Source organism: Homo sapiens, chromosome 1 (assembly GCF_000001405.40).
Source record: "Homo sapiens chromosome 1, GRCh38.p14 Primary Assembly".
Taxonomy (NCBI): Eukaryota; Metazoa; Chordata; class Mammalia; order Primates; family Hominidae; genus Homo; species Homo sapiens.
The window spans coordinates 170,931,168-170,952,683 of NC_000001.11; the positions used below are offsets into that span (position 1 = coordinate 170,931,168).

Here is a 21,516-nt window from a genome sequence, read left to right on the forward strand (position 1 = left end):
AAAGAGAGAGAAGGGGAAGGTGCTATCCACTTTCAAACAACCAGATCTCATGAGAACTCACTCACTATCATGAGAACAGCAAGGGGGAAAATCCATCCCAATGACCCAATCACCTCCCACCATACCCCTCCTCCAACATTGGGAATTACAATTTGTCATGAGATTTGGGTGGGAACACAAATCCAAACCATATCAGTCTGCCCTTAGCCCCTCCCAAATCTCATGTCCTTCTCACACTGCAAAATACAATCAACTCTTCTCAACAGTTCTCCAAAGTCTTAACTGATTTCAACATTAACTAAAAAGTCCAAAGTCTCATCTGAGACAAGTCTAGTGCCTTCTATGAGCCTGAAAAATCAAAAACAGTAAGTTAGTAACTTCCAAGTTAGAAAAACAGTAAGTTAGTAACTTCCAAGATACAATGATGGTACAGGCAATAGGGAAATATTCCCTTTCCAAAAGGGAGAGATCGGCCAACACGAAGGGGCTACAGGTGCCATGCAAGTCTGAAACCCAGCAGGGCAGTCTTTAAATATTAAAGCTCCAGAATAATCTCCTTTGACTCCATGTCTCAAATCCAGACAACAATGATGCAAGGGGTGGACTCCCAAGGCCTTGGGCAGCTTCGCCCCTGTGGTTCTGCAAGGTATTGCCCCCGTGGCTGCCTTCTCAAGTTTGTATTGAGTGCCTGCAGCTTTTCCAGGTGCACAGTACAAGCTGTTGGTGGATCTACCATTCTGAGGTCTGGAGGACAGTGGCCCTCTTCTCACAGCTCCACTAGGCAGTGCCCCAGTGAGGACTCTGTGTGAAGGCTCCAACCCCACATTTTCCCTCCACCCTGCTCTATAGAGGTTCTCCATGAGAGCTGTGCTGCCACAGCAGACTGCTGCCTGAACATCCAGGCATTTCCATATGTTATCTGAAATCTAGGCATTGGCTCCCAAGCCTTAACCCTTGTCCCCTGTGCACCTGCATGCTTAACACCATGTGGAAGCCAGCAAGGCTTATGGCTTGCATATTTTGAAACAGTGGCCTGAGATGTACCTGGGGCTGTTTTAGCCACAGTGGGAGCTGTAACAGCTGGGACACAAGAAGCAGTGTCCCAAGGGCAGTGGGGCCCCAAGCCTGGCCCTTAAGACCGTTCTTCTTTCCTAGGACTCCAGCCTGTAATGGGAGGGACTGCCCTGAAGTTCTCTCAAGTACCTTTATGGCATTTCCCTCATTGTCTTGGCTATTAACATTTGGTTTCTCTTTACTTATGCAAATTTCTGCAGCTGGCTTGAACTCCTCCCCAGAAAATTGGTTTTTCTTTTGCACCACATGGTCAGGCTGCAAATTTTTATGCTCCGCTTCCCTTTTTAAGTTCCAGTTTCGGACCATCTCTTTGCTTAGGCATGTGGGCATATATTGTTAGAAGCAGCCAGGTCACATCTTAAATGTTTTGCTGCTTAGAAATTTCTTGCACCAAATTCCCTAAATCATCACTCTCAAGTTCAAACTTCCCAATAAGTTCCTCATGTCCATCTGAGACCTCATCAGCCTGGCCATCTCTGCCCCACTGTCAGCAATTTGGTCAAAACCATTCAAGTCTCTAGGATGTTCCAAACTTTCTCTCATCTTTCTGTTTTCTTCTGAGCCAACCAAACTGTTCCAATCTCTGCCCATTACCCTGTTCCAAAGCTGCTTCCACATTTTCAGGTATCTTTATAGCAATGCACCACTCCTAGGTACTAATTTTCTGTAGTAGTCTGTTCTCACACTGCTTTAAATAAATATCTGAGACTGGGTAATTTATAAAGAAACAAGGTTTAACTGGCTCACTGTTCCACATGTTGTACAGAAAGCATGGCTGGGGAGGCCTCAGGAAACTTTCAATCATGGCTGAAGGGGAAGCAGGTTCATCTTACATGGCCAAAGCAGGAGGAAGACAGAGAAGAAGGGGGCTAGAAGGAAGTCAGATGACAACAAAGAACCATAAAAAAAATTACTGGGCCAGGTGCAGTGGCTCACACCTGTAATCCCAGCAATTTGGGAGGCCAAGGCGGGTGGATTACGAGGTCAGGAGATCGAGACCATCCTGGCTAACACGGTGAAACCCCGTCTCTACTGAAAATACAAAAAAATTAGCCACTGTGGTGGCACGCACCTGTAGTCCCAGCTACTCAGGAGGCTGAGGCAGGAGAATTGTGTGAACCTGGGAGGTGGAGCTTGCAATGAGCCGAGATTGCGCCACTGCACTCCAGCCTGGATGACAGAGCAAGACTCCGTCTCAAAAAAGAAAAAGAAAATTACCAACTGAGAATTCTATATTTGACCAAACTATCCTTCAAAAAAAAAGAAAGAAAGAAAGAAAGAAAGAAAGAAAGAAAGAAAAGAGAAAGAAAGGAAGGAAGGGAAAGAAAGAAAGGAAAAATTAAGTATTCACAAATAAAGTAAGATTGTTTTTCTAGCAGATCTGCCCTACCAGAAATACTGAAGATATTGTCTCACGCTGAAATAAAAGAATACTAGCTAGTCACTCAAGTCTACACAGAGAGCACACTCATAAACTACAGAGGTAGAATAAAATTATTTGGTTTTGTTCTCCTATTATGTTTAAAAGAAAACAGCTTAAAGCAATAATTATAAAACTGGGTTGGTGGGATTATAATGTTTAAATATATGTATGTATAACATGAATATATATAATGTGCATGGCAATAATAGCAGAAAAAATGAAGGAGGAAACCAGGTATACTGGAGCAAAACCTTTGTATGTTATTGAAACTAAATTGATATTAATTCAAACTACATTGTTTTAGGCTAATGTTATAATTGTGACCCTAGAACAAACAAAGTTTGAAAATTCACACTTCTTGATTTCAAAACTTACTACAAAGACACAGAAATCACCACAGTGTGCTACCAGTATAGGAAAAACATATAGATTAATGGGATAAAATTGAGTTCAGAAATAAACCATTTTAGTCAATTCATTTTTTACAAAGATGTGGAGACAATCAGGAAAAGAATCATCTTTTTAACAAATTGTACTGAGACAAGTGAATATCCAGATGCAAAAAATAAGATAAAATTAGACCTCTACCTCACACTATATACTAAAACTAATTCAGAATGAACCAAAGACCTAAATGTAAGGCAAAAACTACAAAACTCTTAGAAAAGTTCTAAATCTAATCTCTGTGAAGTTGGGCCAGGGAATGCAGGCAATGTCTTTTTCTTTTTTTTTAGTTATGATACCAAAAACACAAGCAATAAAAGAAAAAGAATGGCAAATTTAAATTTCACTTAAATTTAAAACTTTTGTGCTTCAAGAGACACTGTCAAGAAAATGTAAAGGCAGCCCATAGAAAAGGAGGAATATTTGCAAATTATGTATCTGATAAGAGACTAGCATCTAGAACATATTAAAAAATCACAACTCAGTAATAAAAATCCAAACAGTCTAATCATAAAAAGTCACATATTGTATAAATCTATTTACATAAAATGTCCAGAAGGCAGACAGAAGATTAGTGGTTGCCAGGTACTTGGGGGAGAGGGAGGGTGAATGTCTGCTAACAGGTACAGGGTTTCTTTGGAGCTTGTTCTAAATGAAAATGTTCTAAAATTAGATAGTAATGATGGTTGTATACCTCTGTAAATATATTTAAAATGATTGAATTATATACTTTAAGATAAATTTTATGGTATGTGAATTATATTTTAATAACTCTATTATAAAAAGTGCTACAATAAACATCCTTCATGTCTCTCAGTGCATCAGTTGTATACATGTTTATACACTCTATGGACCTAGAACTGGAAATTCTGGGTTGTAGATTTTCAGTTTTGCTAGAACTTGACAAGTTTCTCTACAAACTAGTTATATCCATTTATAATCCCACCAGTCGTGTGAGAAAGTTCAACTTTCTTTTATCTTTGCCAATATTTGAAATTATCTTTTTTTAATTTTTACTTGTATTTTAGTACTTTTTAACTTATTAGCTGGGAAATAATATTTTAATGGTTTGTATTTTCATAACTTCAAGTGAGATTAAAAATCTTTTAAAATATTTATTGGCCATTCAGTTTTCCTTTTCTGTGAATTTTCTATTCTTATCCTTTGCCCAGCTTCTACTGGACTGTTGGTCTGAAGAACTATCTTTCAGTGCTTGTAACATAGAAACCAGAAACTTACCCACCCCTCAATAATGACAGGTGAGCATTAGTAGCCACTTGGGCATGCCAGGACATTCTACCACATTCATTCCAGAATGGAATCTTTGAAACATATGGTTGCCATGACGAGTGTCAACATTTCAAAGAATTTGCTTGGTTGATAACTACCTAGAGTATTTTACCTTTGGCTAAGAGGTAATATACTAGAGTTTCTCTTCACTACTTTGTCTCACCGTGATTACAGAGAAGTTACAAATATGTAAGTGAATTCCTATTAATATTTCTGTCATTCAAAAGCTTGTCTTTTTTTCTAATCCTGACTACTTTTCTTAATTTTTGTTCTGTTAAGAAAAAGAACCATGAATACATTAGAAAATTACGTTATGGCCCAGGTATGGTGGCTCACACCTGTAATCCCAGCACTTTGGGAGGCTGTGGGCGGATCATGAGGTCAGGAGGTCGAGACCACCCTAGGCAACTTGGTGAAACCCCATCTCTACTAAAAATACAAAAATTAGCTGGGTGTGGTGGCGGGTGCCTGTAATCCCAGCTACTCAGGAGGCTGAGGCAGGAGAATCACTTGAACTCGGGAGGTGGAGGTTGCAGTGAGCCGAGATCATGCTACTGCACTCCAGCCTGGCAACAGAGTGAGACAAAAAAAAAAAAAAAAAAAAAAAAAAGAAAAGAAAAAGAAAATTACATTACTATGGGCCCTCATCCAGAAATCTTGCCAAAGTTGGCAATTGGAAGAATTTGTCTTTATTCATTAATCTCCTAACTTCATGCCTTACTAGTAAGGATTATCTTATTAGTAAGGATGAGAGAAACCACAACTATATAGATAAATATATTTATTATAAGGTATTGGTTTACACAATAATAGAAGCTAGGAAGTCCTGGATTCTGCTTTCTGCAAGACAGAGACCCAGGAGATCCAATGGTGCAGTTTGAAGGCCTGAGAGCAAGAGAGTTGATGATAAAAATTCCAGCCTGGTTCTGAGGATCTGAGAACCAGAGCACCGAGGGCAGCAGATTTGTGTCCCAAGTCAAGTAGTCAGGCAAAGAGAAAACTAAGCATTCTTCTGCCTTCTTGTTTTATTCAGGCCCTCAATGGATTGGAAGATGTTGACCCACATTAGGGAGTGTCATCTCCTATCATCAGAACACCAATTTAAATGCTAATCTCTTCTGGAAATACCCTCACAGACATACCCCAAAATAATGTTTACCAGATATCTGGGCATCCTATGGCTCACTCAGTTTGACACGTAATATTAACTAACCATAATGAGTTCCCACGTTGAAAATTTGGCACCCATATACATATCCTTAAGCCATAGTTAATCTCCAAATAAAGTCAATAAGAAGCTCATAATTCCATTTAACATGTTGAAATGTAGTGGGATTGATAAGGAATCAGAGAGACCGATGGGGTTGAGAAGGATATTTATTATTTAGGTGCACCGGCCCAGTTGGATTAACCTCCAAAGGACTGAGCCCTGAACAAAGAGTTATCTTTTAATCATTTCGTGGGGTGGGGGAGATCTGTGTAGGGGGAAGCATATTACAGAAGTGAGAAACAAAGACAGTTATTCAATTAATTGAAACATGCATTACATCATTTCTTACTTTTCAAGGAAAAACATGTTTTATGACTTGAGTTTATCTGTCTAGTGACCTTGCAGCTGCACAGCTAGAGAAACAGGGTCTTCACAATGCCTGGGAAAGGAGGAGAGATAAGGCTCACTAGCCACAGAAAAACAGGCAGTTAATTTTAAAGGACTCCAGCTCTTTCTCTTTCTCTGGGGAATTGGGTTTTCTTACATACAACTGAGTTTCTGCTTACACATTCTTTAATTTCTTTTAATTCCTGTTCCAACATATGTCCTGCATACAACTGAAAATGCACTAAACCCTTCTCAGAGGAGGAGATAAAGTCCTTCAGTGATGTTTACTCTCTTCCTTGATGTCCTGTAACTTAAACACTATGATGTAACATTAACAATACTTAAATACTAGAATATGAAGTCATTGCATTTTGTATTATGTGATAAGAGAATAAGAAAAGAAAAAATATTTGGTATCTAATATATACACAAAGAAATGTATTCAGAACAAAATTAAAAGGAAATACTCATAATTATTACAGTCTTCATTTCTGCACTGATCACAGCATCATAATCAGTATTTTTTTTTTTTTTTTTTTTTTTTGAGACGGAGTCTCGCTCTGTCGCCCAGGCTGGAGTGCAGTGGCGGGATCTCGGCTCACTGCAAGCTCCGCCTCCCGGGTTCACGCCATTCTCCTGCCTCAGCCTCCCAAGTAGCTGGGACTACAGGCGCCCGCCACTACGCCCGGCTAATTTTTTTTGTATTTTTAGTAGAGACGGGGTTTCACCGTTTTAGCCGGGATGGTCTCGATCTCCTGACCTCGTGATCCGCCCGCCTCGGCCTCCCAAAGTGCTGGGATTACAGGCGTGAGCCACCGCGCCCGGCCCATAATCAGTATTTTTAACTCCCTTTTTCTACTACACATTCTGTAGTTTCTTTGCCTTCAGTAAGCACCTCAGCTGCTTGTGGTTCTTTACCTGCTAAAGTGATCCATAAAGGTCTGGGTCACTAGTAGTCCTACCTGCACTGGGTGGTTGTAGTTTTCCATTGATCTTAATCACAGGACACAGTAATACTAAGAGACACACTAAGGGATCTTTTGTATTGCAGACATACTCTTCCTTGCCTCCATTATGGAATAGTAGCCCAAGTTCTCTTTGGTAGTGTGGATCAGTCAGTCCAACCAGCACCATAACTCCCTTCTTAGCCTGTTGACTCAGAAGCACAAGGAGACCAAGGTGGCCAGGTGGCAGTCTTAACTTCCAGTTCAGTGGAATTATTGTCGTGTCCCCTGATGGAAGAATTCTTCCCTCCAGAACTGAGATCTCTAAGCCAGCAGAGCATAATGCCACAAGAACAGGAAGCTAGTGGGACACTAAGGATAATAGTGAGTGGTGCAACTCTATTTTCACCCCTTGATCCCTAGACCCAGGAATCCTGGTTATAGGAGAAATAGCACTATAAATTGAACATATTCAGAGCATATTCAGTTTTCCGGAGAACCTTGCCCCAGCCCTTCCAGGTATTGACATCTAGCTGATGACGTAACTGAGTCTTCAAAAGGTCATTCCACCGTTCCATCAAACAAGTGGCTTTAGGATGGTGGGGAACATGGTAAGACTAGTGAATTCCATGAGCATAAGCCAATTGCCCCACTTCTTTGGCTGTGAAGTGAGTTCCTTGATCAGAAGCAATGCTGTGTGGAATAACATGATGGTGGATAAGGCATTCTATAAGTCCACAAATGGCAGTTTTGGCAGAAGCATTGCATACCTGGACGGCAAATCCATATCCAGGGTAAGTGTCTATTTCAGTAAGGACAAAATGCTTCCTCTTCTATGATGGACGCAGTCCAATGTAGTCAAGCTGCCACCAGGTAGCTGGCTGATCACTCTGGGCCACATCAAGGACTCAGTGTTTTTCTCTGCTACTGGCATATTGGCCACTCGGTAGTGGCCACAGCTAGGTTGTCCTTGACAAATAAAAGTCCATGTTGCTGGACCCATACATAATTTACATCCCTGACACTATGGCTACTTTGCTCATGAGCCTATTGGGTGATGACACTAGTGGCTGAAGAAATAGCCTAATTGGTACCTACAGAATGGGTCATCCTATCTGCTTGATTATTAAATAATCCTCAGCAGAGATTGCCCTTTGGTGAATATTTACAGGGAACACAAATATCTTCAAACTTTTTGCTAATTCTGAGATGTCTATCCACTTATCTCTTCCTCAAATTTCTTCATCAATTTTCCAATCATGTTCCTTCCAAGTTTCTGACCATCTAGAAAAATCACTGGGCACAGCCCATGAATCAGTATATAATCACACATCTGGCTATTTCTCCTTCCAATCAAAGTAAAAAATCAGATTCAGTGCTCGAAGTTCTGCCTACAGGGAGGATTGCACTGCTTGGGGTTTTGCCCACTGGGAGTATTTCTCTTGGCCATTGTCCTTCAGAGATGTCCCAAAAGGGGGCTATAGGGATACAGTCATCCACTTTCAAGTTGTGCCTGTATATCATGTAGAACCAACTGTAAACCAGGCTGTTTTCTTCCTCTGTCAATTGATCATAGGGAACTCCCCATGAAGCCATAGTTGCAGGCTAATAAAGAGAAGGCAGTGTAGTAGGAGGAAGGATCACTGGCTTTTGGCCATTTCTTTATGTAATTTACTTGTGCCTTCAAGACCTGCTCAGGCCTGATCACACATATATATCACTTCCATTTGATGATGGAGTACTGCCGTGCACACCCAACTTTATGGCTTGGTGGGTTGGATAACACCCAGTTCATGATAAGCAGCTCAGATCACATGGTAACTTGGTGCCACGTGGTCAAGCATTCAGTCTCTACTAAGGCCTAGTAGCATGTCAAGGGCTGTTTCTCAAAAGAAGACTAACTATCTGCAGAGGAGAGTAAGGCTTTGCTCCAAAATCCTGGGGGCTTGCACTTCAATTCACTGCCAAAGGCTGAAAAGAGCATCATTATCTGCCACTGATGCATCAAGCACCACTGGATCTGCTGCATCCTATTGTCCAAGTACCAGAGCAGACTGTACAACAGCCTGGACCTGTTTCAGTCTTCTTCTACTATGGGCTCCATTCAAATTAGCAGCTTTTTAGGTCACTTGGTGAATGTGCTGGAGTAACACACCCAAATGAGAAATATGTTGCCTAAAATCTGTAGGGGCCCATTGGGCATTCTGCTTCTTTTTTGGCTTTAGGAGGTACCAGATGCAACAAGTTACCTTTAACCTTAGAAGGGATATCTCAACATGCTCCACACTACTGGACCCCTAGAAATTTCACTGAGATAGAAGGCCTCTGAATTTTTGTCAGATTTATTTCCCACCCTCTGGCACACAGGTGTCCTGCCAATAAGTTTAGATATTGCTACTTCTTGTTCAGAAGATCCAATAAGCATAATGTCGCCAATATAATGAACCAGTGTAATGTTTGTGGATGGGGAAGTGATTAAGACTCCTGAAAACTAAATTATGACATACAGCTGGAGAGTTGACATGCCCCTGTGGTAGAACAGTGAAGGTGTATTGCTGGCCTTTCCAGCTGAACACAAACTGCTTCATGTACACCTTACGGAAAGGGATAGAGAAAAAAAGTATTTGCCAGAATAATAGCTGCATACCAGGTACCAGAGAATATGTCAATTTGCTCAAGCAATGAAATCACACCTGGAACAGCAACTGCATTTAGAGTTACCACCTGGTTAAGCTTATGGTAATCCACTGTCATTCTCCAAGATCTATCTTCTTCACAGTCCAAATAGATAATTTAAATGGGGATGTGGTACAAATGACAACCCCTGATTCATTTAAGTCCTTGATGATGGCACTAACCTCTGCAATCCCTCCAGGAATGCAGTATTGCTTCCAGCTTACTATGTTCCTAGGTAGAGGCAGTTCTTGTGGCTTCCACTTGGCTTTTCTCGCCATAATATCCCCCATTCCACAGTTCCGGCAACCAGTATGCGGATTCCACTAGCTACTCAGCTTGTCTATTCCAATTACGCATTCCAGAACTGAGGAAATAACATCAGTTATAACAAATAACTCTGTAATAACCCAGGATGGATTGGGGACACACCGGACCCACTGTTAGAAGGACCTGAGCTACACTCCATTGATCTCCTGACCTCCCTAGTTCCCTATTCTGACTGGATGGCCAGAATGACATTTTGGGTCTCCTGGAATTATTGTCAGTTCAGAACCATTTTCTAGTACTCCCCAGAAGGTCTGATTATTTCCTTTCCCCAAGGCACACTTACCCTGGAAAAGGCCATAGGTCCCTTTGTGGCAGACTGGAAGAAAGATTCACAGTATAAATTTTGGTAGTATACTAAGGTCCTTCTTCAAAAGGGCCCAGCCTCCCTTTCACTCAAGGAATTCTGGGTTTATAAGCCAGCTTAAGCCTGGGAAATGACTGAGGGATCATGACTCAATTTTTTATTTAGGTTATATTTTTGTTCACTTGACCTAGAACTTTTATGCTTATACAAATCAAATAAGAATTTAATAGGCCTCCTATCTGTTTAACTTCTAGGAACACCATGATCAACTAGCCAATACCATAGGTTCAAAAGAGTCAGACTATTTTGACTGCTGCTTTGACTTTTTGTTGCTCATTAAGGCAACTGCACTCATCTTTCCATTGGCTGTTGAGCTTGCCCCTTTGCCCCTGCCACCCTGAAATCCAATTATCCTCATCACATTTACATTTCCCTATTCAGTGGCTGCAGTTTCCACCATAGTAGGGTCTGATTTACAGAAAAGAGCAAGCACAGAGCTCCTCAAGGATGGTGGGACTTCCCTCACAAATTGCTTGCTGTAGTGGCAAAAGGTGTGTCTTCTGGACACTCCCGGCGTGAGGGACTAGGTCTTAAATGACAAATTCACTCTAACATTCCAATCTCCCTAAGCTTTTGAATCCCTTTTCTACATTAAGCTATACAGGTCTGGCATTCCTAACTTTCTCCTCATTGGCCACTTTTTGGTCCATGTTTTAGCCAATCAACCAAACAAGTAGTTAGAGCCATTTCCAACTCCCTGAGCTGCACCATTAAATGCAGAATCTCTGCTTAGTGAGCCCATATCAATAAATTTGGCCTAATTCAACTTTTTGTTTCTTCCACTGTTATCCTACAGCTTTAATATCCATTTCTACACAGGTTCCCTGGATTTCTGCTTGTAGAAATAAGAAAACTCAAGTCATTCTTTTGGAGTGTAGCACATTTCCTCATGGGTCACACTTTCTACCTTGACTTTAGGGGCCTTCTGCAATTTGAGTCTAGTTACGGGTCTAGAAGCAAAGAAGAGTGGTGGGGTTGAGTCCCTAAGAAGACTCAGCATTATCTTGCTTGGCAACTGCCTCAGGGGAGGCAATTACAGTTTCCTCCGGCAATGTAGAGTAGACACACACACACACACACACACACACACACACACACACACACCCTCAGAGAATACCGATAATTTTATCAAGAGTAAAATTTTAGATTTGTCCTAAAATTTCTTTATGTATGTCTTCAATCCTGTGAAAATTTTTAAGAAACTTTTGCTAAAGCAAAGTCTTTGATAGGGTAGGCCAGTAACATACATTTACTAAAATATGGGATATTCAAAAACAGCAAGGAAAGCACTCCAGTTATGGAGTAACAGCTGAATTGTATGGAAATATGACATGCCTGGAATAGGACTTTTGTTCACATGTTTGGACCCAGAGATACCTCCCTGGATAGATGACTGATACTTTTCCTGGGTGATAAGGATGTGAGGAAAGCAAGGTGAGTAGCTTAGACAGAAAAAGGGGAATGGAATGCATGCACTAAGGAAACTTTCTTTGGTTCTGGTTTTGAACCAAACATAAGCTGGTGAAGCTGAACTAAACAAGAAATCACACAAACAAGCTGCTATTGCTTGCAGGTGGGCCAGGGTAAAGGAGGCCAATTCTGCAGTAGCTCTAATGCTGCCAGGAGGGTAAAATAGTTGGGGAAAAGTAAAGCCAAAAGAGCAAATTTACATATACTATGCTGGATCAAGAGGAAAATTCCTCCAGGTGAAAGTCCTGAAAATATTTGATTCGGAAGTAGCCCATCTTATTCTAATAAGCAATAATTTTAAAAGAATCAATACAGGATCTAAACAAATTTTTTACAAGAAAAAAGTAGAAAATTAAAAAAATCAATGACAAAAACTGGAAAAATATCAAACGGCAGATGAAAAACTTTTTTAATTTAATGGAGTGATTTTATCTATAAAATGTGATTTCAAAGTAGATATATAAGAATTTAGGAAAGAAATAGTGCAGCTCAGGAAAAAAATGGAGTGTTAAAAATACTCCAAAAGCAATGTTGGAAACAGTGCAAAGAAAATGAATATTGCTAAAAATGTGCTAAAGAGAATAAAGGACCAAACTGAGGTAAGCTAGAAAGACTTTAGAAATGAGATAAAATATAAGCATAACTGATATCACTAAAGAAGAGAACCAAAATAACAGAAAAGAAGAAAATATATAAATAAATTTTAACAAAATGTGCCATGAACATATAGATTCAAAAGCAGACTATGTCCCTAGAAAAATTAAGTCAATCAATGATGAGCTCTTTACTTGTAAAGTTACTTAATTTCAAAAATAAACAAGGAATCCTTTGGAAATCCAGAGAGGGAGAAAAAGGTTCATTTGATCTATATAGGAGAAAAAAAAAAGGAGCTAACCTTAGCCTTTTCCACAACAATGCTAGATGACAATGGAACAATGTCTGTAAAATCCTTATGAAAACATTATAGCTCAGGAGTATTATATGCAGTCAAACTTTAACTCAGTGTAACAGTTTTAATGTGAAAAAAAATCAAGGAATGTGATTCTCATGAGATTCTCTTAAATAAAGTCAAAGAAAATGAACTTTAGCTCAACAAGAAATGAATGGGGAAAGTCTGGCAGTATGCATAGAATCTGTTTACATGAAGGGCTAAGACATAAAGGAAGTAGGATTATTGTTACAGAACTGAATGTAAATATTATACATCTTGAAAGTATAAAAATAATATCGCTAATAACAATTATAATAAAAATAAAAGATAAGGGGAAAGTTAATAAATACATTGATTTCATTTTTAAAGCCTAGGGGTTATTAAACAAGCAATATAAACACAAATGCATAAAGGTTTCACTAATAAATCAACTAAAATTGTATGAGGAGTGACAGAGAAGAGAAAATAGAAATGAACTAATTTCATCTTTGCTCATAGTTGGGAATCAACAGGTTCTGTCTAAAGTTTTGAGGAATAAATATAAGAAGTTATTGTAATCCTAAACATCATCACAACAGGAATATAAACCTTTCGTATTAAAGAAACACACAAAACACCACATCACACACATACAAAGTAAGGAGAAAAACATCAAATAATAAAATATTTAAAGGTAACAACAACAACAACAACAAAAGCACATACAAAATATAGTGATAAAATCTGTTATGTAATAAACAACAATGGATTGAACTTATGTACAAAGAGAAAGAAATATGGTTAAATCACTAGTAAAGTCCAGCAATATGTTACATACTCGAGGTACTTATAAAACAAAGTATCTCAAAAAGGTTGCAAATAAAAAGACGGAAAAAAGGAATACCAAAAAAGTGTAAACAACCACTAAGTAGTGTTGGGATCATAATTCAGACAAACTTGAATTTCAGGCTTTAAAATAAGCTTTGAGGCAGTAAAGGTGATTTTTTAAATGCATCACATTATGAAAAAGTTCATAATCCACTATGATGATACAATAATTATGAAAATCTATGTGGTAAGTAGAATTTTAAGACGGCCCCCAATATTCCTGTCCCCTAGTATCCACGTCTTATATCAATCCCTCCACTTGAAGCTGAAATATTTAGGAAGGAAGGGTACGGGATGAAGATCTGAATATGATGTATGATGGGAAATCATTCTCATGATTATGTTATATAACGTGAAAGAAGGAACTGTACAGCTATAATTAAGGTTACTAATCAGTTATCTTTGAGTTAAAAGGAAGAGTATTTGAGTGGCCTGCCCTAATCACATGAGTCTTTTAAGTCTGGGTCTGGAGGTTGGAGACAGAAGTCAGAGATTGGTAGTGTGAGATGGCCTCTGGAACAGGTCATATGGCAAGAAACCGCAGACGGCTTCTAGATGCTGAGTATTGTCCTCAGCCGCAGCCAGCAAAGTAATAGGTTCTTCAATCTGACAGCCTCAAACAATTGAATTTTGCCAACAATCTAATTGACCTGGAAAGAGAACTCTGAGCCTCAAATGAGATAGCACTCCAAGTTGACATCTTGAGTCCAGCTGTGTGAGACCCTGAGCAGACTACAGCTAAACTGAGACTGAACCTTCTGACCTACAGACACTGAAATAACAACATATTTTTAAGCCTTTAAATTTGTGATAAATTGATGCACAGCTATAGAAAATTAACACAATCCACATACTGTATATCATAGTACCATCCATATTGATAGAGCAAAACAAAACTGTAGGAAAGTTTCTGGTTTATGTACTAATACGTGATATTTTTTGCAGCATTACTAGTAGAAGACTTTAATACACCTCTGTCAGCATGTTGACAAGGAATCCAAAAACAAGTAAGGCTTTAGGACACAATAGAGATGGGAGAAGGTATTTTTGTGTATATGTGTGTGTATGAGTGACAGATGACAGAGAGAAACCTATACATCATTCTGTAACCATGATAACAAAGAATGTACCTTTTTTCCCTAATGCCCGTAGAACGTTCACAAAAGTAACCATATATTAGGCTAGAAATTTCTGTATAAATTCCAGAAAGTAGAAATAGAAGACATATTCTCTGATTACAATGCAAAAAATTAGAAACTAGTGATGAATTCATGAAACAAGTGAAAAACAACCTACCACTTGTCCAGTAAACTTTCTATTTTAAACAATTCTTGAGTCAAAGAGGAAATTAATAGGAAATTACAAAGTATTGATAATACTACATATCAAACCCTATAGTATACAGCCAAAGGGATCACAGAGAAAAATTTATAGCCTTTAGTACTTAGAAAACTAAACCAGAACAAAATAAGAATAATGAAATCAAGTATTGAAAGCAAGAAGTTATCAAAATAAAACAAAACAAATCTAAGGAATGCAGAAATAAAATGACCCACATAAAGATGAAGTTGAATATTTGAATTCAGGAAAAGAAAAATAGTAGGACTAATAAATAAATTCAAAATCTTGTATTTTTTTCATGATGAGACAGGCAGGCATTCACTCTGTAATATTTTTTCCTCAAACCTATATTCCCAGTCTAATTATATGAAAAAAAATCAGATAAATCCAAATAGAGGTACATTTTACAAAATACCTAACCAGTGCTCTTCAAAACTGTCAAGGTCATAAACAAGGAAAGACTGCTAAACTGTTAGAGATCAGAGCAAACTGAGGAGACACGCTGACTAAATGCAACGTGGAATCCTGGACTGGATCCCAGAACCAGAAAAGGATATTAGTGGAAAAATAGGTGAAATCCAAATAAAGTCTGAATTTTAGTTAATGTAATTGTAATAATGTTAATTTCTTAGTTTTGAAAAATGTGCCATGGTTATGTAAGATGTTAGTTAACATTGGAGGGAACTGGTTGAAGGATACATGATAATTTACTGTCTTTGCAACTTTCCTATAGGTCTGAAATAAAAAGTTATTTTTTTAAAAAAAGAATCAAAGAAGATCTAGAAAATCTAAATATACCGATTAAAATAGAAGACATAAAATAATTATCAAAGGGCTACCTCCTCCAAGCAAGCAAAGGAAAACATAACAGTTTCTAAAAATTTCATAAGGCAATTTTATCAATCATTTCAGTAACTGATAACTCCATTTCTAATTAAATTATTTTGATAACATTAAAAAATTTAAAAGCCCCTTATACTGTTTCCTATGAAGTTATAATTCAAACAAAATTATATTTTCCTTTCCAGTTTTAATATATGCATTTATTTCTATTTTTAAATAATATTTGATGGTCCTTCCAGAAATGGTAAATGATGGTGGTAGTAATGATAATCTTTGTTTTATTCTTTACCTTAATAAGAACACTTCTATTTATTTTCTAATCACACTTGGTACTGACTTTTTTATCTATCACATTAAGACATGAACTACATAGCCATTTTATTTAAAAATGTTATCAAGTTCATATTTAAAATCTTATAAATTTGGAACTCAAAAATTATTGTGTAGAATTTCTTCTTTAGCAATTAATGTTGAGAATTGTATTATAGATTCTCTTTTATTGAACCATCCTCTATGTAATAAATACTACTTGGGTATAGGCTTTTATTCTTTTAATGTGCTGCCATAGCCTGCCTACTAATCTTTTTGTTAAGTGTTGTCCAGTAATACTCACAGTAAATTTGTCTATAGTTTTAGTGTGTGTGTGCATGTCCTTGTTGGGCTTTGACATCAAGGTCATAGTAGCTTCAGGTTTGGAAATAAGGCCCCACTAAGATGATAGGAGTCTATGTTCATTCCTTTTTAACGAATCTCCTTCTTTCTGGCTAGAGAGTAGTCTCCAGATTCTGCAAGACAGTGTGAAATGGCACCACATGGTAAGTGATATTCTATAAGGATATCAACGTAACTGAATTCTCTTGGAAAAAATAACTTTTTACTGTTTCCATTACAAGGATGTTACAAGTAATGTTTAAAATACATGTGTTGGGGGAGAAAGGGGAAAAAAAGGCAATTTGGTTAAAAATTGTTTTTACCTGTATGTCCCTGCAGCGTCATTTCTTCTTCATTCTCTCATGCTCCTGAAAATGACCTTCAGCACTAATTTAAAAGGATGAAACTTTTTACCCATCCTACTATTTATCCCACCCATCCTCCATCAACTGACTGGTCTCTAGGATAGTCTCCTCACTCATATTTTCCCTTCCATCATCACTGTGGAAACCCTTCCCATCAAAGTGAAGCCCTTCTACCTAGTCTCTGATTGAATGATATTATTTCCTTATTTGAGAGCCATTCTAGTTTGTGTCTTTCCTTTTCCATTTATCTTATTTTCTAGGCCTTTTGCAGATTTCTTGTCTTTGATCTCTTGAGAGCAGAGATTGTGATTATTCATCTTTGTGTTCTCTGCAGTGTGTAGCACAGTATTGTCTTAGTGGATATTCATCCAGTCATTTTTCAAAATTGTTTTAAAATTCTGAACCTCTAATAGACCCTACCATCATTTTAATCCACATCCAAATTAACACAGAAGAAACAGGGGAGGGCTACCATAAGAAAATATGTAATCTTCTACCTTTACAAAAGAAATGCTTCAGCGTGGATATTAAAACTTTTATAGATTTTGTTCATAATCCATAGGTCGAAGTCGCTGATAATTAAAGCAAAACATTGATATCATTTGGTGGACAAATTGATTTTTCCAGCCAGGACATGAGGAGAGTTGTTAATAAAACCATATTCTATTAAACAGGGTCATTTAATCCTTTCCCATTTGTATAGTCCATAGAGTCAGAAAGATGCAGTTTAGAATTACACTCACTCAATCACTCATTCATTTATTCAACAAATATTTATTGAGAATCTACTATGCATTAAATATTATGCTATCTTTTTGAGAAACAAAGTAGAATAAAACTCAAATACTAGCCCCAAATTGCTTATAGTCCAATGGGAGAGATTTTAAAAAATTCAGTAGTTAGAAACTGTTATAAGCTATGAAGAAGTTACAATATTCAGGAAATGATAGAAGTATATTTGGAGGGACATTCAAATATGACTTTGGGCCAGAGAAGATTTGAGCTGGACTTTGAAAGATGAGTAGAATGCCTAGATGAAAGTGAAGTACATTCCAAGAAGAGGAAACAGCACCTGTAAAGGCGTGGAGAAAGAAAAAGCAACATACGTTTGTAGAATTATAGATTTTAGCTATGGTTCCCCAGGAAGCAGATTCTAAAATAACACTGGATGTGCTCTTTGGATCAATACTTGGGGATTAGTAGTAGAGGCAAAGTGAAGGAAGCAGGATTAGGTACAAGGAGGTGTTGAACTGCAATGCACTTGCAAGATAGGTCTCAGCTACTTCTGCAGGGCACTCTGGAACTGGAATGACCTTTCAAAGTTGACCCTCTTTGAGGCAAGGAGGTTTGGCCTTTATTTCCCCATGTCAACTAGTCATTAGATGTAGGTTGCTCCCAGAGAGGGGATGTGATCTTAGGTAGGAAGGCTCTTTGGCTAAGGGAAGTCTCAAGAATACTTATCTAAAAGCTCTCAGCTGCCAACACTTCCACAAGTTGTGGAAAGAGTATTTCAGTACTGAAATGGAGAGGGGTGGTCTAAACAACACCCTGCAGCATCCATCTAAGACAAAAGGTGTATCTAGAATGAAGACTAGTCAAGAGGAAATAACAGGAGTTGTGGATGGAGAGGTAAGCACAGACTTAGTCATAAAAGTTCCTTTACGCTTTGCTAAAAAGTTCAAAACCTTGGTGACTTACTTAATCAGGAGAGTGGTGTTGCTCCAACAAAATTATAGATGATGAAATACAAAGATACTCCTTATAAGTAATAACAGACATCTGAGTTGAAGTGTACAATTGAGGGCGGATGGCTGTTGGGAACTCCTGCACCTGGGTCAAGTGGGCTGGTGTTTCAAAATTTAAAAACCAAAAACCAAAACACAGCACAGTGGGGATCTTCCAGAACATGTAGCTGGACCTTGAAAGTGACACTCTCCTAGTAAATTGAGTTCTTCATCAGCAGGGCTGTTGGGGGCACCACCTGCTTGCCAGAACAAATCACCAACAGGAAGGGGACAATAAATTATTTCATGGATGGACCAAAAAGGAAACATATTTCCCCCAATTCCTCAGCCACCTACAACCCCAGAGATACAAAGACAAGGAAGATGAGAAAGGGAACAGAGTACAGAGACATGTGAGAGAGGGAAATCCCTTCCCTATTCCAATGATAGTAAAAATAGCTAAAACTTATATAGTACCCATAACATGTTAGGCATGCTGTAAGTGCTTTAAATGAATAACTCATTTAATTCTCACAACAGCCCTGTGGGGTAAGTACTACCTTGAAAATGGGGAAACAGAGGCAGAAAGTGACCTGCTTATAGTCACATAGCTAGCAAGTGGCAGAACGAGGTTATAAATTCATAGATCCTGGCTGCACAGTTGCTGGTCTAAGCACCAAGCTATACTGTGTTTACCCTAAAACCAAAATCCTTGCCTGCTCTGGGTATCAAGGAAGACTTTTGAACAAACAATGAAGTTGAAGATTTTAAATAAACAGGATTTAGTACTAACAATAATTATGAGACTGTATTAATAACCAAAAAAAGATGGAGAATTCATGAAATCAGACTTAGAATAGTCCATAAAGGAGACAGCCATCTATCAGGGAAAGACAGGGCAAGGGAGTTGGCAGAGAAGAGGGACAGAGCACAGTGGCAGCAGTTACAGGAAAACATAGAACCAATTCCTGTATATATACCTTAGAGGCTAAAACTGCTCACAAAAGAGTATCATTAACATTCTTATATCTGCATATTCTATTGCTAGGAGAATGCACAGGAAAGCAGTAACAACTGTAGATTCTGGGGATGGAAATTAGGGGATGGGAGCTAGAGAAGGGGAAGACTTGGAAACGTTCACTGTTTACGCTTTTGTACTGTACTGCACATGCATGTGTATTACCTTTTTATATGTTCAAACAAATAAATAAGGTATACTACTTTAAAAGTCCATTCAAAAACATGCTTCTATGAATAATCTAAGTTTTATTGCTGGATCAAACTATATCTATATTTTGATATAGTCTATAATTATATTTACAATCCATCTTTTGCTCTTGTAAAGGGGCTGTTTACTATGCATGTTTGTAAATGTCCCTCACCCTTAAATCCTCCATTTTGTCTTAATTTTTATTCTTTATTTTCTTTTAGCCTTTATTTTTATATCATCGAATTGGTTTTCTTTGTCTCTAAGCCACTGAAAATCCCTCTTTTTTTCCCTAGTGTGGGAGAGGGGTCCTAATGAATAAATTGAAAGATGTCTTCCTATGTGGATTTGAAGGAATTTTAAAATAGAGATTTGCCATCAGTTAGAGATGACCACACTAAATTTTGATCTAGTTAGATGTATACACTGTTAGAGAAGTAGAGTAGTCCAAACACAATTATTGCCAATAGTGTGATAAGGAGTTTTGTCAAAAATATAAAGTGCACAGAAAATTTAGAAAGTGCAAAGAGTTATGGCATTCCAATTACAGAAACAAATTAATTAACTCCATCAATTTGTCTCTACAGGAATAATAGGAGTTAGTGAACCAGCTCCTAAGCATGCATAGTAAAACTGTGGTTCTAAGAAAGCAAAAACTGGACTACCATTCCAGGCCTTAATTTGTTTTTCAGCAACAGAATCTACATTTCTCTTAGCTGTGGAAAAGGTCAACTTCAGAAACCCAATTATATTCAAAAGAATGACACAGACTTAGATTGGAAATAGGAGTTGCAAGAAGAGAGAAGGAGATAATCAAATGGCTCATTGGAAACAAAACATAAACTTGCTTGATGTAGAAACAGTTATTGCTAGCATTGAGACATGTCTGGGCCACTCAAGATAAGGCAGGACTAGCAGGATGGAAGAGCCTGCAGGGAAAGACACCTCCTAGCTGAAGATTATCAAGGTGCGTGAATGTGATTCAAAGACAGTGGGCTAGTATGAGAGGTTGATCAGTGCTTCTCACTATATTAATAGCACAGTCCCAGCTGCTAAGTCCTATAAAGACAGGGCTGTTGTAAAAGAGCAAAACAATGACCATCTGAAAATGATGAGAGTGAATTCAGTCACCTGTGGCTTTAGCTATAAAGTGAGAGCACCTTTTGTGCAGAAGCTGGCTCTTTTGCTAATGGGTTACAGCAGCCATGGGACGGTAATCAACAAGTGGGTGAAGGATATGAACAGACACTTCTCAAAAGAAGACATTTATGCAGCCAAAAGACACATGAAAAAATGCTCATCATCACTGGCCATCAGAGAAATGCAAATCAAAACCATAATGAGATACCATCTCACACCAGTTAGAATGGCACTCATTAAAAAGTCAGGAAACAACAGGTGCTGGAGAGGATGTGGAGAAATAGGAACACTTTTACACTGTTGGTGGGACTGTAAACTAGTTCAACCATTGTGGAAGTCAGTGTGGCGATTCCTCAGGGATCTAGAACTAGAAATACCATTTGACCCAGCCATCCCATTACTGGATGTATACCCAAAGGATTATAAGTCATGCTGCTATAAAGACACATGCACACATATGTTTATTGTGGCACTATTCACAATAGCAAAGACTTGGAACCAAACCAAATGTCCATCAATGATAGACTGGATTAAGAAAATGTGGCACATACACACCATGGAATACTATGCAGCCATAAAAAATGATGAGTTCATGTCCTTTGTGGGGACATGGATGAAGCTGGAAACCATCATTCTCAGCAAACTATCGCAAGGACAAAAAACCAAACACTGCATGTTCTCACTCATAGGTGGGAATTGAACAATGAGAACACTTGGACACAGGAAGCGGAACATCACACACTGGGGCCTGTTGTGGAGTTGGGGGAGGGGGGAGGGATAGTATTAGGAGATATACCTAATGTAAATGACAAGTTAATGGGTGCAGCACACCAACATG

General features: G+C 38.2%; 1 protein-coding gene across 4 annotated transcripts in view, besides 1 other annotated feature; it reads left to right on the forward strand.

Moving 5' to 3' along the window:
• Positions 1,115 to 1,304: an enhancer, noted in NCBI's record as "active region_2084". NCBI's record gives its function as "activates an Ori minimal core promoter by ATAC-STARR-seq in GM12878 lymphoblastoid cells {active_cell/tissue: GM12878}" and the evidence as "EXISTENCE:reporter gene assay evidence [ECO:0000049][PMID:35858748]".
• The window catches only part of MROH9 (maestro heat like repeat family member 9), a 129,232-nt gene continuing 112,082 nt past the window's right edge, over positions 4,367 to 21,516 (forward strand). For all 4 annotated transcript variants that reach the window (NM_001163629.2, XM_011510006.3, XM_011510005.3 and 1 more), the window contains exons 1-3: positions 4,367 to 4,420; positions 14,353 to 14,414; positions 16,360 to 16,406. In NM_001163629.2, the coding sequence (NP_001157101.1) occupies positions 14,390 to 14,414; positions 16,360 to 16,406 (72 nt within the window). In that variant the 5' untranslated portion in view covers positions 4,367 to 4,420; positions 14,353 to 14,389. The remainder of the gene's footprint in view (positions 4,421 to 14,352; positions 14,415 to 16,359; positions 16,407 to 21,516) is intronic.